The sequence below is a fragment of the Homo sapiens genome, chromosome 10, assembly GCF_000001405.40.
Source record: "Homo sapiens chromosome 10, GRCh38.p14 Primary Assembly".
Taxonomy (NCBI): domain Eukaryota; kingdom Metazoa; phylum Chordata; class Mammalia; order Primates; family Hominidae; genus Homo; species Homo sapiens.
Genome location: NC_000010.11, coordinates 94,442,175 through 94,461,175, shown reverse-complemented (window position 1 = coordinate 94,461,175; position 19,001 = coordinate 94,442,175). Strand labels below are relative to the sequence as shown.

The following is a 19,001-nucleotide window of genomic DNA, read 5'->3' as shown; positions in this document are numbered from 1 at the left end:
CAGTTCCTTTTACCCACCACATTTATATCTACCTTTCAGCAAAACTTATATGGCATACTAAATGGTAAAAACCACAGTCTAAAGAGATTAAACAAGCATTAGAACCAGAGTCAGATATGATAGGAATGTTGGAATTATCAAACCAGAATTCGTTTTAAAGAGAACTATGCACTAAAGGCTTCAATGGAAAAAGTAGACAACATGCAAGAATAATGTAAGAGATGAAAAATTTAAGAAATAATCAAAAAGAAATACTAAAGATTAAAAAAACTGGAACAGAAATAAAGAATTCCTTTGATGGGCTGATTAGTAAATTGGACATGGCTGAGACAGAATCTCTGAACTTGAGGATATGACAACAGAACTTTCAAAACTGAAAAGCAAAGAGAAAAAAGACTGGGAAAAAAAGTACAGAATATCCAAGAACACTGGGAAAACTATAACGGACAAGAGAGAGGGGAGGAAAAGAGAGACAGAGAGAAGGAAGAAGAAATATCTAAAGCAATATGGACTGAGAATTTCCCCCAAATTAATGTCAACACCAAATCAAAGATCCAGGAAGCTCAGAGAACATCAAATAGGATAAACATTAAAAAAAAAAAAAACTACTTCTAGCCATATCATATTCAAATTTCAGAAAATAAAATCAAAAAATCTTCAAAGGCAGCAGAGGTAAAAACATGCTACCTATAGGAGCAAAGATATGAACTTATCCTCAGAAATGCAAGTAAAGAGTGGAGTGAAATATTTAAAGTGCCAAGAGAAAAAAAATTGCAAACCTAGAATTCTGTACCCTACAAAGTTATCCTTCAAAAGTGAAGGAAAAAAACTTTCTGGGACAATTATTAAGGCATTTGTTTGCCAGGAGACTTGCCTTGCAAAAAATGTTAAAAGAATTTCTTCTGAAAGAAGATATTTTTCTTTTTTCTTTTTTTTGAGATGGAATCTTGTTCTGTCACCCACGCTGGAGTGCAGTGGCGTGATCTCATGATCTCAGCTCACCTCAACTTCCGCCTCCCAGGTTCAAGCGATTCTCCTGCCTCAGCATCCCAAGTAGCTGGGATTACAGGCATGTGCCACCATGCCCAGCTAATTTTTGTATTTTTAGTAGAGACAGGGACTTGAGAGATGACAACGTGCTGGCAGCCCTTGCTCACTCTCGGTGCCTCCTCAGCCTCTGTGTCCGCTCTGGCTGCGCTTGAGAAGCCCTTCAGCCCACTGCTGCACTGTGGGAGCCCCTCTCTGGGCAGGCTGAGGCCAGAGCTGGCTCCCTCTACTTGCCAGGAGGTGTGGAGTGAGAGGTGCAGGCAGGAACCGTGGCTGCGTGCGGCACTCACGGGCCAGTGCAAGTTCCGGGTGGGTGCGGGCTCGGCAAGCCCCACACTTGGAGCTGCTGGCCGGTGCCACTGGCCCCGGGCAGTGAGGGGCTTAGCACCCAGGCCAGCAGCTGCAGAGGGTGTGCCGGGTCCCCCAGCACTGCCAGCCTGCCCGTGCCGCACTCAAATTCTCGCTGGGCCTCAGCCACCTCCCCACGGGGCAGGGCTCAGGACCTGCAGTCTGCCATGCCCGAGCTCCCCCCAACCCCCCTGGTGGGCTCCTGCGCGGCCCGAGCCTCCCCGACGGGCACCGCCGCCTGCTCCATGGCGCAAGGTCCCATCTACCATCCAAGGGCTGAGGAATGCGGGCGCACAGCGCGGTACTGGCGGGCAGCTCCACCCGCAGCCCCAGCACAGGATCCGCTAGGCGAAGCCAGCTGGGCTCTTGAGTCGGGTGGGGACTTGGAGAACTTTTATGTCTAGCTAAAGGTTTGTAAATGCACCAATCAGCACCCTGTGTCTAGCTCAGGGTTTGTAAATGCACCAATCAGCACCTTGTGTCTAGTTCAAGGTTTGTAAATGCACCAATCACTGCTCTGTGTCTAGTTAATCTAGTGGGGACTTGGCGAACTTTTGTGTCTAGCTAAAGGATTGTAAATGCACCAATCAGCACTCTGTGTCTAGCTCAAGGTTTGTAAATGCACCAATCAGCACCCTGTCAAAATGGACCAATCAGCTCTCTGTAAAATGGACCAATCAGCTCTCTGTAAAATGGACCAATCAGCTCTCTGTAAAATGGACCAATCAGTAGGCTGCGGGTGGGGCCAGATAAAGAAATAAAAGCAGGCCACCTGAGCCAACAACGCCAACCCGCTTGGGTCCCCTTCCACGCTGTGGAAGCTTTGTTTTTTCACTCTTCGCAATAAATCTTGCTGCTGCTCATTCTTTGGGTCTGCGCTGCCTTTATGAGCTGTAACACTCACTGCAAAGGTCTGCAGCTTCACTCCTGAAGGCAGCAAGACCATGAACCCATGGGGAGGGACGAACAACTCCAGATGGAAGGTACGAACAACTCCAGATGGAAGGAACGAACAACTCCAGACGCACCACCTTTAAGAGCTATAACACTCACCATGAAGGTCTACAGCTTCACCCCTGAAGCCAGCGAGACCGCGAACCCACCAAAAGGAAGAAACTCAGACACATCCAAACATCAGAAGGAGCAAATTCCGGACACACCATCTTTAAGAACTGTAACACTCACCACGTGGGTCCGTGGCTTCATTCTTGAACTCAGCGAGACCAAGAACCCACCAATTCCAGACACAGTTTCACCATGTTGGTCAGGCTGGTCAAGAATTTTTCTTATTCTTAATTGATCTAACAGAAAAAAAGTTTTCTTAGTCTATTTTCTGTTGCTTATAACAGAATACCTAAAATTCAAAAGAATTTATTTCTTACAGTTACAGAGGATGAGAGGAACAAGGTCAAGGGGCTACATCTAATGAGAGCCCTCTTGCTGATGGGGACGCTCTATAGAATCCTGAGGTGGTGCAGAGCATCATGCGGTGAGGGGCTAAGCATGCTAGCTCAGATCTTGCTTTCCTCTTCTTATAAAGTCACTAGGCCCATTCCTATGATAATCCAATAATCCATTAATCCATTAATGGATTAATCCTATAAAATAGATTAATCCTCTTAAAGAATTAATCACCTCTTAAAGGCCCCCTCTCTCAATATTGCCACAGTGGGGATTGCCTTTCACCATAAATTTTAGAGGGGATAAACAATCAAACCATAGCAACAGTTTACTCAAAATAATAACATCAATAATGTGTTCAATTATGTATGCTCATGTGTGCATATGCTCATATGTGAGTAAAACGAATGGCAGTAATAAAAGGGATGGGCAGAAGGAATTAGGAATGTTTTGTTGTTATAAGGTATTTGCATTACACATGAAACTCCACTTTCAGGTATAGTGTTGCCTGAAAGTGGAGTTGGCTTAGCTATAAATACATACTGCAAACTCCAGGACAACCACTAAAAAAAGTTTTAAAAAAAGAAGTATAACTGATATGCTAAGAAATGGGAGAAAATGGAATCATATAAGATGTTCAATTAAAACTAAAGACTGAAAAGATGTGGAAGACAAAACTGGAAACAAATTATAAAGGCAACAACTAACAAACAGTAACAGAAATGAGAGATAATAATCCAACTGTATCAATAATCACTTTAAATATCAATGGTCTAAATGCACCAATTAAAACACAGAGAGGCCAAGCATGGTGGCTCATGCCTGTAATCCCAGCACTTTTGGAGGCCATAGCAGGAGGACCATTTGAGGCCAAGAGTTTGAGGATGCAGTGAGCTATGATTACACCACTGCATTCCAGCCTAGGCAACAGAGCAAGATTCTGTCTCAAAAATAAAACAAAACAAACAAACAAATGAAGAAACAGAGACTGCCAAAGTGTATTACAAAAGAAGACCCAGCCATGTGTTGCCTACAAAAAAACCCACTTTAAGTTGAACAATGAGAACACATGGATACAGGGAGAAGAACAACACACACAGGGGCCTGTCAGGGGGTGGGGAGACAAGGGGAGGGAGAGCATTAGGACAAATACCTAATGCATGTGGGGCTTAAAACATAAATGACAGGTTGATAGGTGCAGCAAACAACCATGGCACATGCATACCTACGTAACAAACCTGCAAGGTCAGCACATGTATCCTGGAACTTAAAGTAAAATTAAATTAAATTAGGTTAAAATTTTAAAAACCCCACTTTAAGTATAAAGGCACATATAGATTTTTTAAAAAGGGATGGAGAAAGATATACCATGCCAATGCTAATCAAAGATAACAAGAGTAGCTATAGTAATCTCAGACAGAGCAGACTTCGGAGCAAGGAAAGTTATCAGGAATAAAGAGGGGCATTACATAATAAAGGGGTTAGTAATCCAAGAAGACACAAAAATCCTTATCATATATGCAACTAAAAACAGAGTGGTCAAGATACATGAGGCAAAAACGGATAGAACTACAAGGAGTAATAGATGAATCTACTATTACACTGGAAAACTTTAATGCCTCTATCAGAAATGGACAGATCCAGCAGTCAGAAAATCAGTAAGGACATAGCTTAACAACAGTACCATCAGTCAACTGGATGTAATTGACATCTGTAGACTACCGCATCCAACAACAGCAGAGGAAACATTCTTCTCAAGCTAACATGGAACATTCACCAATACAGACTACATTCTAGGTCATAAACTACACCTTAACAAGTTTAAAATAACAGAAATCATAAAATGTCTGCTCTCAGATCTCAATTAAATTAAACTAGAAATTGACAGAGATAGATAGCTGAAAAATCCCCAAATACTTGGAGATTAAACAACACACTTCTAAATAACACATGTGTCAAAGAAGAAATCTTAAGGGTAATTTTAAAATATTTTTAACTATATGAAAATGAAAATACAACTTATGAAAATTTGTGAGATGCAGCAAATACAGTATTAGAGGCAAAAGTATTGCTTTGAATGAATACATGAGAAAAGAAGAAAGATCTAAAATCAATCATCTAAGCTTCCACCTTAAGAAACAAGAAAAATTCAAGCAAATTAATTACAAAGTAAGCAGAAAAAAATAAAGAGCAGGAATCAATAAAATTGAAAACAGGAAGTCAGTAGAGAAAAATCAACAAAACCAAAAGCTAACAGTTCTTTAAAAAGATCAATAAAATTTATAATCCTCTTGCCATGATAACTAAGAGAAAACAAAAAAGACACAAATTACTAATATCAGAAATGAAAGTAGAGACATCACTACAGAGCCCAAGGACATTAAAAAGGATAATGAATAAGTATTATGAACAATTCTTTTTTTTTTTCTTTTTTGAGATGGAGTCTTAAGCTCTGTTGTCCAGGTGCCATCCTGGCTCACTGGAACCTCTGCTTCCCGAGTTCAAGCGAGTCTCCTGCCTCAGTCTCCCAAGGAGTTGGGACTACAGGCGCATGCCACCATGTCCAGCTAATTTTTTTGAAAATTAATATTTTTAGTACAGCTAATATTTTTAGTGCAGACAGGATTTCACCACGTCGGCCAGGCTGGTCTCGAACTCCCAACCTCAAGTGATCCACCTGCCTTGGCCTCCCAAAGTGCTGGGATTACAGGCCTGAGCCACCACACCTGGCTTATTACGAACAATTCTATGCCCATAATTTTGATAACCTGAATGAAATGAACCAATTCCTTGAAATATACCCAAACTAACATAAGAAGAAACTGAATCAATAATTAATAATCTTCCAAAACAGAAAGCACAGACCCAGATGGGTTCACTGATGAATTCTACCAAACATTTAAGGAAGAAATTGTATCAATTATCTATAATCTCTTCCACAAGACAGATGGAGAGGAAATACTTCCTCACTCATTATCTGAAGCCAGCATTACTCTAATACCAAAACTAGACAAAGGCATTACTAAAAAAGAAACGTACAGACCAATATCTCTTATAAACATAAATGCAAAAATTCCTCAAGAAAATATTAGCAAATCTAATCCAACAATGTATAAAAAGAATTCTATACCATGACCAAGTGGGATTTATCCTAGGTATGCACAACTGGCTCAATGTTTAAAAAAAAAAAATCAATTAATTTAATCAATTGCATCAAGAGGCTAAAGAACAAAAATCATATGATAAAACATCAATAGATGTTGGAAAAGCATTTGACAACATCCAACACCATTCATGAGAAAACCTCTCAGTAAACTAGGAATAGAGGGGAACTTCCTCAACTTGATAAAGAACATCTACAAAAAACCCATAGCTAACATCATACTTAATGGTGAGAAACTAGAAGCTGTCTCTCTAAGGTCAGGAACAAGGCGAGGATATCCCCGCTCACCACTGCTTCTCAACATTGTTCTGGAAGTCCTAGTTAATGCAATAGAAAAAGGAAATAAAAGTTACACTAATTGGGAAAGAAGAAATAAAATTGTCTTTGTTTACAGATGACATGATTGTCTATGGAGAAAGTCCAAAAAAATCAACAGAAAAACTTCTGGAACTAATAAGCAATAACAGCAAGTTTACAAGACAGAAGGCTAATGTACAAAAGTCAATCACTTTCTTACAATATAACAGCAATGAACAAGTAAAATTTAAAATGTAAAACACATTACCATAAAAATGAAATACTTAGGTATAAGTGTAACAAAACATATGCAAGATCCGTATGAGGAAAAGTACAAAACTCTAATGAAAGATAACAAAGAAGAACAAAACAAATGAAGAGATATTCCATGTTTATGATTAAGAAGACTCGCCGGGCGCAGTGGCTCACGCCTGTAATCTCAGCACTTTGGGAGGCCGAGGCGGGTGGATAACCTGAGGTCAGGAGTTCAAGACCAGCCTGACAAACATGGAGAAACCCTGTCTCTACTAAAAATAGAAAATTAGCCCGGCATGGTGGCACATGCCTATAATCCCAGCTACTCAGGAGGCTGAGGCAGGAGAATCGCTCGAACCTGGGAGGTGGAGGTTGTGGTGGCGCCACTGCACTCCAGCCTGGGCAACAAGAGCAAAACTCTGTCTCAAAAGAAAAGAAGACTCAATGTCATTTAGATGTCAGCTTTTCTCAACTTGATCTATAGATTCAACACAATCCCAATCAAAATCTCAGCAAATTATTTTGGGAATGATAAACTGAGTCTAAAGTTACATGGAGAGACAAAAGACCCAGAATAGCCAATTCAATATTGAAGAAAGACAAAGTCAGAGGGTTGACACTACTCGAATTCAAGACTTACCAGAAGGCTACAATAATCAAGACAGTGTGGCATTGGTGAAAGAACAGACAAATAGATCAATGGAACAGAACAGAGATCCCAGAAATAAGCCCACATAAATATAGTCAACTGATCTTTGACAAAGGAGCAAAGGCAATACAATGGAGCAAAGATAGGCTTTTCAACAAATGGTACTGGAACAACTGGACATCGACATGAAAAAAAAATCAATCTACATACAGACCTTACATCCATCACAAAAATTAACTCAAAATGGTTTACAGACCTAAATGTAAAGTACAAAACTATATAACTCCTAGAAGATAACACAGAAAATTTAGATGGCCTTGAGTATGGTGATGACTTTTTAGATCAACACTAAAGGCATGATCTACAAAAAAATAAAAAGTAAAATACAGTAGTCCCCCCTTATCCTTGGGAAATATGTTCTAAGATCCCCAGTGGATGCCTGATACTGAACCCTCTATGTGCTTTTTTCCTACACATATGATAATGTTTTATAAACTTTATAAATTTATAAATTAGACACAGTAAGACATTAACAATAATAAAATAGAGCAATTATAACAAAATTCTATAATAAAAGTTATATGAATGTGTTCTCTCACACACTCACATATGCACACACACAGACATACATGCACACAAAATATTTTTATTTTTTATTTTTATTTTAATATTTTCAGACTGCAGCTGACCATGGATAACCAAAACTGTGGAAAGTGAAACTGTGATAAGGGGAGACTACTATAATTGATCAGCTGGAGTTCACTGAAATTTAAAACTTCTGCTCTGTGAAAAGACAAGCCATAGAAAGAAGGTATTTGCCAAAGGCATGCCTGACAAAGGACTGTTATCCAAAATATACAAAGAAGTCTTAAAACTCAACAATAAGAAATTGAACAATCTGATTTTAACATGAGCAAAAGACCTGTATATCATCAGAGAAGATATACAGATGGCAAGTAAGCATGTGAAGAGATGTTCAACATCATATGTCATTAGGGAACTGCAAATTAAGACAATGAGACACCACCACACAGCTATGAGAATGGCCAAAATTCAAAACACTGACAGCACCAAATACTGGAGAAAATGTGGCACAAGAGGAACTCTCATTCAATGCTGCTGGAAATGCACAATGGTACAACCACTTTGGAAGATATCTTGCTACCTTCCTGCAAAACTAAACATATTCTTATGATCCAGTAATCACTTCCTTTGGTATTTACCAAAATGAACTGAAAACATAAAACCACACAAAAAATTGCACGCAGAAGTCTAGAGAAGCCTTATTAACAACAGCCAAAACTTGGAAGCAACTAAGACGTCCTTCAGTAGGTGAATGGGTAAATAAACTGTGGTGTTCCCAGACAATAGAATATTATTCAGCACTAAAAAGAAATGAGCTATCAAGCCATGGAAAGGCATGGAAGAAATATAAATGTATATTACTAAGTGAAAGAAACCAACCTGAAACAGCTAAGTACTGTCTGGTTCCAATTACATAATAGTCTGGAAAAGGCAAAACTATGGAGACAAGAAAAAGATCTGTGGTTTCCAGGGGATTGGAGGAGGGAAGAATGAATACACACAGCACAATTTTTAGTGTAGTGAAACTATGCTGTGTAATACTACAATGGTAGATACACGTCATTATACATTTGTCCAAAGCCATAAAATGTACAACACTGGGAATGAATGATACTGTAAACTATGGACTTTGAGTGACTGTGTGTCAATGTAAGTTCATTGGTTGTAAAAAATGATCCACTGTGGTGCAGGATGCTGACAGTGAAGGAGGTTGTGTGTATGTGGGGACAGGAGTTATATGGAACTCTCTGTACTTTCTCCTCAAATCTGCTATGAACCTACAACTGCCATAGTTTTTACATTTAAATACATATATTTAAATATATATGAATTTAAATACATATATTTAAATATATATGCATTTAAATACATATATTTAAATATATATATGCAGATCTAATCCAGAAATATGCAAGGTGAATAATAACTGTGACTGATCATAGTTTATTCCTGGAATGCAAAGTTGGTTTAACAACCACAAACTAACTTATACAACTTAATAATTTAAAAAAATGATCAAAAGAGTTGGCACTTGAGTTTTGCCTCACATGAATGGACCAAAAGCTACACATATAATGCCCAAGAAACATTCATCAAATCTCTGAAGGATGACATCATGTTAGCCTTCAAACTGTCTTCCATACATGATGTCTCAAATATTATATGTTTTCACATCCAGTACTCAAGCAAAGGTAACTGGGCACACAAAGAGATAAGATATCACCTGTTAGCAAAAACTAGCAGAAATAATATTTGATATAAGCAGACCTATAGGAGTTCCAGATGCTGGAATTTCCAGACATATGAAACAGCTTTACTTACTATATTCAAGGAGATAAAGGCCAAGCTTGAAATTTCAGCAGGGAACAGTAAACTGTAAAAAGTGATACAGCAGATTTGAAAAAGAACCAGCTAGGAACACAAGAATTAAAAACACACAAAATTGACATTAAGAACTCAATGTATGGAGCCAATGTATTCTTAACACATTCTCTAGGTAGTTCTAATCATCCAATGTGTTTGCAAATCAGAATAGATTATTATTTAAAAAATCTTAATAAACTTGTCCTCAAACCCACTGTTTTTTATAACCTTTTTAAGATTTTTTGTTTAATTTACATATAATAATTTTACATACTTATGGGATACATAGTGATGTTTTGATACATATAATGTATTGTGATCAGACCAGGGTAATTACCATAGCCATCATCTCAAACATGTATCATTTCTTTGTGTTGGGAATATTCAATATCCTCCTTCTTGCTATTTAAAACTGTATATTATTGGTAACTATGGTCATTCAACAGTGGTATGAAACACTAGAACTTATTCCTTCTATCTAGCTATAATTTTTTATCCTTTAACAAATCTCTCCCTAACATGCACTCCCCACCACCACCTTCCTCCTACCCTTTCCAGCCTTTAGTATCCTCTGTTCTATTTTTTACTCCTATGAGATCAACTTTCTTTTTTGGGTCCTACATGTAAGTGAGAACTTGTGGTGTTTAACTTTCCATTTCTGGCTTATTTCACTTAACATAATGTCCTCCAGTTCCACTCATGTTGCCACAAATGACAAGATTTCATTCTTTTTTATGGCTGAATAGTATATGCTTGTGTATATATACCATATTTTCTTTACCCATTCATCTGTTGTTGGGATACCTAGGCTGATTCCATATCTTGGCTATTGTGAATAGTTCTGCAATAAACATGGGGTTGCATATGTCTCCTTGATATACTGATTTCCTTTTGTATGGATAAATGTCCAGTAGCGGGATTGCTCGATCGTTACTGTTTTCTAATTCAGCTCCTATAATCCCTCCAGAATTATTTTTCTAATACATAAATTTGATATCTCAGTACCTCATTTAAAAGTATTTTAGATAAAACCCAATTCTCTAGCCTCGTGGCTAATGAGCCTTCACCATCTACCCTGTATCTTTGATATACTGTCCTATTAGCTAAACAGATCCTATTCATTCCTGTTTGCTTTTTCAATTTCCTCTATCTAGAATGGCTTTCCCCATCTTGTCTGCCTGCTTAATTCCTACTAATACACTTAGGAACACAATTTGCATGTCATCTCTGAGAAAAATAAATCACTCTTTCAACTGTACTCTCATACCCTGTCACAACTCCACTAAAGCACTTAAAACACAATATTATAGTTACATATGAAATTCTCTTCTACCCCTTGTCCCCTGCAGTTATACTGAAATAACTCAAAGGCTAGGATGTAGATATAGATATAGATATATGCACCAAGAACCTAAATTATACCTATTGCATTATACATAGTATTTTTTGAATAAAGAATTCATGGAAATAAGCCAGAAAATCTTAAGAAATCTAAGATCAATTCAAGAATTCTGTCCTTCAAGTTCTGCTATAGAAAAAGCCTAGAGTTTGCTAATATCAGGTCACACATTGAATTGGCAGCAGAATGGTATTCTACCACACTTTGATGCCTTGCGTTTTGTAGCGAAAGCGATTTACCAAAGAAGTGTACCAGGATGGAAATATGTGAAAAGATCAGACTGGATTCAAAGGGAGGGTGGCAAGAATCTTTGAATAGCTGCCTAAATAAATAAAATATGGGGACTGACAAGAAGAAAGAACAGTAGCATAGAAGCTTCTCCTTCAAAGACAAGGAGAGAGCCAAAATTGCCTGATATATACCCTGATATATCCATTAACTGACTTGACTTTGAGTTTCAATGGACAGTAGGAACACTCCCCTTAAAGGGGTTAGTGTTAAACCACATTAGTGAGTAAATCCTTCTATTTCTATATGCTGTGAACAATTTATAGAGAGCCAGAATAATGTTTCAGAAGCAGAAAAACTCCCCACCTCTACTATCTCAAGACCATGTCTGCCCAAGATAGAGTCTCTTACACAACTTGATCTAAGAGCTGAGGAAACCATTATGCTTGGGATAGACAGGGTTTAGCTGATTATGATGTCTTTATAGATTATAAATTTTATTCCAGATCTATGAATTAGGAGACAAAAAACCCATCCTATATTTCAAGCTCAATTGCAGTCTCGGGGCAAAGCATTTCATCACTTTCTGGCATATAAGAGTACCGTAGTAAACTTCATTTTTGCAAAGTTACCAGCACAATCTTGTTTGTTTAGTCTGAAGCCTGCTATAATATACAAGTCTGAGATAAAGACAGGATGAATACAACTTTTAATATAATGTTGATAAGCAAAACAGTATTCCTGTAATCAAATATAGATATTCAGAGTATTTTCAAACATAACCCTTTCCAAGTCTCTGTTTCTGATAAAATGAAAAAACGTCCCCTCAAATTCTACCGTTTAATTTGTGAAAACTTATCTTTATTCTTTTAATTTTCTTTAATAATTTAGGCTTCTCTCTTGAGGATCATACTTCTCCCTTCTCCCAGAAGCATAGGCCCAGAAATATTACTAGTACCTCTCCAATCTTTAGACCACACAAATTATTTTTTATGAAATCCATTTATACACAGAAATGCATAATAATTTATCAACCATCAATAAAGAACACACACGCAACTAGAAGTGTAGTTATTCACTACCTTTTCAAGGTGATAACAGATGAGGTAAATAAAGGTGAAAACAAAACATGCAAGAGTGTAACAATTTTTTAAACTTTTCGGGCCAGGCATGGTGGCACATGCCTGTAATCCCAACACTTTGGGAGGCCTAGGCAGGAGGATAACTTAAGCCCAGGAGTTCAAGACCAGCCTGGGAAACACAGTGAGACCCTGTCTCTACTAAAAATATAAAAAAATTAGCCAGGCATGGTGGCATGCACCTGTAGTCTCAGCTACCAGGGAGGCTAAGGTGGGAGGATCGTTTGAACCCAGGAGGTCAAGGTTGCAGTGAGCCATGATTGTGCCACTGCATTCTAGCCTGGGCAACAGAGTGAGATCCTGTCTCAAAAACAAAATTTTTAAAGAATAACTTCTGAACACAGTCCAGTCCCCCTACAATTTAACATCAGTGAAATAATTGTTTTGTTTTTGCAGTAATCAAATTTTACAGCAAGAATATCTATATTTAAGCATAATTAAAACCAATAAACTTTTCAAATACTCTATTACACATACCAATAAAATCAGAAACCAGAAAATTAAGCCCCAACATGTTCTAAGTGTTATGTATTTAACATTTAACTACTGCTCACAAAACACATGTATGCTAGTCCTTTCCATAATGTTGTTCCTGCAGTAAAAAATTTCAAAAGCAAAGCCTTAACTGAGGAAAGTGATCTATTCTACTTTTAGACAATTTGAAACTCTCTGATTAAGAAATCAGTATCTTACAACTTTTTTCCTTGCCTGTCAAAATTTATGTGAAACTGATTCAACCACTCAACTTAAACTTTACCAGAAAATGGCATGTGTATTGATGAAAAACTTGATCATCTAAGCACTACAATTTCGTTTTCACATTAAAGATGCCAATATAAAAGCAGTGCCTAGCAAAAAAAGGTAAGTTTCACTGAGAGATTATCAGTTTGACATAAATATGCATAAATAGTGCATATTCAATCTAGTATGCAATTGTATCATAATTACATATAACATGGTTCATTTGAAATCATTCTCACTTGCAGTTTCGAGTTCCTAAGACAAACCATGTAGCTATTCCAACTTTACCTACTAATTTAGAAAAAAAAACAAAAAACTCAGGTCAACTGAACTACGATATAACTGAAATACTATTTATAATTAACAGATTCAATTTTTAACACGGCTCACCAACTGGTTCAAAAGGCCACAAGCGGAATTTCACATCTGCAAGAGAACACATGTGATAATCCTCAAAAAGTAATACTAGGAATGTTCTTGTGATTTTGGAATTGATTATCAAGTTAACTTCAGTCAGTTTGATTTTGCTATAATCCTAAAACGTTTTTTATGTTTCTTTACTGTTAACATGGAAAGCACTAAAATTGATTAGACTTGTAATAAAAGTTACTGCAGGAATAAAAAGTTTTAAAATATTTAACAGATTCTTTCACTTATGAACCCAAATATCTCTGAAAAGATACAGGTACAAAACATGTAAAGTTAAATTGTATATAGATGTGTGTGTGTGTATATATATACACATCTATATAATTAAATATGGTGACATTTCATTCTTGAAATAGAAAAAAACATATAATTCCACATATGCAAAATATATACATGTAAAAATAATTACGTGTTTTTTCCACACAAAAAAATGAATTTTAAAAGGCCTAAAAATGTGAAAGGAAAGTGAACTGAGATATATCATTCTATGTTTTATATTTTATAAAGAGAATATAATCATGTGTTATTTGTGTCACTAATAATACATAAAAAAGGTTTTTTTTTTTTTTTTTTTGAAACAGCTCAGGCTAGAGTGCAGTGGCACGACCTCGGCTCACTGCAACCTCTACCTCCCAGGTTCAAGTGATTCTTCTGCCTCAGCCTCCCAAGTAGATGAGATTACAGGTAAGCACCACTATGGCCATTAATTCTTTTGTGTTTTTAGTAGAAATGTGGTTGGCCAGGCTAGTCTGGAACTCCTGACCTCAAGTGATCCACCTGCCTCAGCCTCCCAAAGTGCTGGGATTGTAGATGTGAGCCACCGCACCCAGCAAAAACTTTGTAAATTAAATCTTTTCTTCTTTACTTAGTGTGTAATCTTACAGATGTCTTTCCATTAAAGAAATGTTTGGTTTAATAACATATTTAAAAATATGGCAACTCTGCAGGACACAGTGGTGTGCGCCTGTAGTGCCCTGTACTCAGGAGGCTAAGACGGGAAGATTGCTTGAGCCCAGGAGTTTGAGGCCAGCCTGGGCAACATAGTGAGCCCCACATTCCAAAAAAAAATTTTTTTTCAAAAAATGTTTTAAAAGAATCAACAACTTCTTTCTGAAGACCTGCTTTAAAAAGTTATTAGCCAATGAAATACTACTACTCTAATCTCCTAATAAATCTTACTGCTTTACCATTCAAAAAGCAAGTGAGGCATCATTTCTCCAAGCAGTTTTTCACACCTAAATTACCAGCTACCTCTTCATTTCCTAAAGCCTTAACAGCTTAAGAACCTATCCCAAAACATGACAGAAGTGTCCTAACATTCTTCATGGCTTTACTGATACTATATTCACTTTCGGTTTCTGATTCCAAACGTAATAACATCTATCTGAAAGCATACATGGTAAAGGAACTCAGATACAGTTTTATATTCATAATCTTCTAGAGAATTCAAAAATCAGTGCTATGAAAAAATGTTTCTAAGTTAAAACAGAGACATAAAATTGTAAATTTACCATTACTATAAAAAGAAAATCATGCCCACTTTGAAAAATGAGAATTGCAGGGAAGAGGACAGCAAAATTAGACAAATAGGGAGTAGAGGACACACATTGAAGCAGAGATAGTAGAAAGCAAGAGGTAGAAACATGTTCCATCACATGGTAAAAGTAATACTTTTTTTTTTTTTTGAGACAGTTTTAATCTTGTCACCCAGGCTGGAGTGCAAGGGCACGACCTTGGCTCACTACGACCTCTGCCTCCCAGGCTCAAGTGATTCTCCTGCCTCAGCCTTCCGAGCAGCTGGAATTATAGGCACCTGCCACCACACCTAGCTAATTTTTGTATTTTTAGTAGAGACCAGGTTTCACCATGTTGGCCAGACGGGTCTCGAACTCCTGACCTCAGGTGACACACCAGCCTCAGCCTCCCAAAGTGCTAGAATTAAAGGTGTGAGCCACCGCACCCAGCTGATACATATTTTGAAGATGGAAAAAGGTCAGAAGAAAAATGACTTGACTATACATAATGCCTCCCAGAGAACAAACATAACCACAAAAAGGGCACTAAAACATATACTAATAGCTGTGACATAGCTGGAAAGTTCGAAAACTAAAATAAGTGGCGCAGAGAAATAATCGTCAGTTAAAGGATCAGAGAAGGGGCCGCAGAGGCAGAGGCAGCAACTACATTTCAACTCTACCCCTTCTTCTCAAATGAAAAAGAGCTGTTCTTTTCCTGACCACTCATGAAGTTCTATTGCTGTTGTTGCTGTTTTTTGAGACGTATTCTCGCTCTTTTGCCAGGCTGGAGTGCAGTGGCACAACGTCGGCTCACTGCAACCTCCGCCTCCCGGGTTCAAGTGACTCTCCTGCCTCAGCCTCCCAAGTAGCTGGGACTACAGGCACGTGCTACCACGCCCAGCTAATTTTTATATTTTTAGTAGAGACGGGGTTTCACCATGTTGGTCAGGATGGTCTCAATCTCCTGACCTCGTGATCTGCCCGCCACAGCCTCCCAAAGTGCTGGGATTACAGGCTTGAGCCACCGCTCCCGGCCCACTCATCAAGTTTTTATACCACATATATAAAAAAGGGAATGTGAGGGGCCGGGCGCGGTGGCTCACGCCTGTAATCCCAGCACTTTGGGAGGCTGAGGCGGGCGGATCACGAGGTCAGGAGATTGAGACCATCCTGGCTAACACGGTGAAACCCCGTCTCTACTAAAAATACAAAAAAATTAGCCAGGCGTGGCGGCGGGCGCCTGTAGTCCCAGCTACTTGGGAGGCTGAGGCAGGAGAACGGCGTGAACTCGGGTGGCGGAGATTGCAGTGAGCCGAGATCGTGCCACTGCACTGCAGCCTGGGCGACAGAGCAAGACTCCGTCTCAAAAAAAAAAAAAAAAGAGAATGTGAGGTCTTGGCTTTCCGAAATGAAAATAGCAGATTAAAGGTATACAGCGTATCAGCAAAGATAATTATCCAACCAGTAATTTATTCAGAGACTTATGGTAAGAAAATATCATAGAACATTAGTTTATATAAAGATATAAAAATGTATGTGCATGCATATTTAAACTACCATAAAAATCAAAAATACCTGTATAAACCTTCAGTAGCAAGACCACCGTTTTGCCTCTAGAGGGCGAACTTGGTCTTCTGAAACATTCTAGACGAGAGACGTTACTTTCAGACTTTACCAAAAGAAAAAAAAAGGAGCTAAAACTTAAGATGTCACAATAGCAGAGGTTCCCAACCTTTCTTGGTCAATGCCTTTAGTGTCTCTGATTTTTTTCACAGTAACTCTTAAGCCAAAAGAAATACCTAATGATTCTGTTTAATAAGTAGCTATGTCCAAACAATTTAATAAGGATATATTTCCTAACACTTAGTAACTGCTAAAAAAAAAAAATACACATAAATTGAAAAAAGAAATATGTTTTCTTTCATTCTTTTTTTTTTTTTTTCTTGAGATGGAGTCTTGCTCTGTCACCCAGGCTGAAGTGCAGTGGCATGATCTTGGCTCACTGCAACCTCCACCTTCCAGGTTCAAGCGATTCTCCTGTCTCATCCCCCAAGTAGCTGGGACTATAAGCATGCACCACCATGCCTGGCTAATTTTTTGTATTTTTGGTAGAGACAGGGTTTCACCATGTTGGCCAAGCTGCTCTTGAACTCCTGACCTCAAGTGATTTGCCTGCTTCTGCCTTCCAAAGTTCTGGGATTACAGGCGTGAGCCACTATACTCGGCCTCATTCTTAAATAACCGCAATTAATTACCAATTTGGGCATGTGTGGCTTTGTGCATTGTATACAATTTCTCAAACCTTAAAATCAGATTAGACATAACCCTCATTTCCAGTCCCACGCTGACTTTTTTACAGTATCTGGTTTTTATCACAGCAACCTCAGAAAAAACAGATTCACAAAGATATGATGCCACAGAAAAGTATGTAGTAGCACTTAATGTTGGAACTGTGTACTGCTTCTAATTACCAGTCTCCACCATATCCAACTGATGTGGAATATCACTGTTTGCCTCAAAAAATTTAAATATCCCACAGTACCCCAGTGTGTTAAGTGCAGCACACCAGAGTGTCTGAGCACATGGCTTGGGGATCACAGCACACAGTTTTAAGTACCAATAGATAAACTATTCACTATTTTCATCACTTGTAAAGAAAATTAACTACAAGCCAGGTGTGGTGGCACATACCTGTAGTCCCAGCTTCTCAGGAAGCTGAGGCAGGAGCATCATCATTTAAGCCCAGGAGTTTGAAGACAGCCTGGGCAACATAGCAATACCAAGTCTCTTGAAAAAAGAAATTAAGTTAGTTTACAGGGAGAGGAGGAGGCACATGGTCTAACTACTGACTAGCTACATAGTTCAGGCAAATCCTTCAAAAGGGAAAGGGAGGGGCTGCTTAGAAAGACGGCAATCTCAGCAACTTCTGTTTGTCTTATGCTTCTCTCAGGGACAAACATGCAGTCCTCTAGTGCCGTGCATGTACATTCTATGGGGGTGAACATCTTGGTTCTGGTTAAACAGCTAGTGCTTTTGACAGCTGTGCCAGGAAGGGTTAGGACCAACTACAAAAGAATATGGGTTCTAAAAGCATAGTGTGTGTCCCTAACTTTGTTTTTCCTGAGGAAAAAAATAAACCTTTTATTCAAATGCAAAAAGAAGAAAAAAAGAATTAACTACAATAATGTTTTTAAAGATCTAAAATTATTTTCTCATATTACTTGGAAAACCAGTTTTTCTTCTGAGCAATAAAAGGAACACTATTAAATCTTTAAAGGAAGATATCTTTTCCAATTTGAATGATGATTATTGCCTTCATGTGATTGTTTTTATAAATGCTAGCTGTGTTAAATTTGGTAAACTACAATTGGGAAGGATAAAAATAGGAAATGTACTATATGTCTTCTTCTGAGCAATAACTTCTCTGAACTTTAAAACACTGCAGATTGATCCAGTCTCACTGCTTTCCATTCTCACTTATCTAGTACTGAAGAGCCAAAGTTCAGAAGTCAAATAAGATCAGAAAGTCTTAAGAACTCAAGAATACAGATGTTAACAGAGATATCAGAAGAAATAGCTTCTAAATTACTAGAAACAGATTGTGTACCAACTCTTCTCATTTACAAAGTCCTTGGTTTAGAGAGGACACCAGAAAAGTGACAAAGGAAGGAGTTCAACCTCATAATCTACTCAGTTTTTGCTTTTTAATATTTCATCAGTTCACAACTACCAATATTCAGAACATCTGTGCCACTGACAAATGCTACCAACTTCAACTGGAAGTCAAACAGTATGTGGTGAGAGTGATTAGCTAAGTTTTTAAAAAATCTATTCAAGGAATAACTGGTTAAAAAAAAAAGTCTACGTTCTATTTGAAGAATTTTCACAATTATAAAAGATAACAGAAAATATATGACCTGTTTTTCTAGAAAATTTAGCA

The 19,001-nt window shown here is 37.9% G+C and overlaps 1 protein-coding gene across 9 annotated transcripts in view; it reads right to left on the bottom strand.

Annotated features, from left to right (window-relative positions):
- The window catches only part of TBC1D12 (TBC1 domain family member 12), a 133,792-nt gene that overhangs the window by 75,157 nt on the left and 39,634 nt on the right, over positions 1–19,001 (bottom strand). The window contains exons 1-2 of one of the 9 annotated variants that reach the window (XM_017015998.3): positions 13,506–13,521; positions 9,567–9,618 (exon numbers count right to left, since the gene is read on the bottom strand). The exons of 6 other annotated variants lie outside the window; for them this stretch is intronic. The gene's annotated coding sequence lies outside the window, so the exon portion shown is untranslated. Of the gene's footprint in view, positions 1–9,566; positions 9,619–13,505; positions 13,542–16,636; positions 16,919–19,001 lie in introns of those variants that run through there. 2 more of the 9 variants (XM_017015999.3, XM_047424907.1) reach the window with 2 other exon arrangements.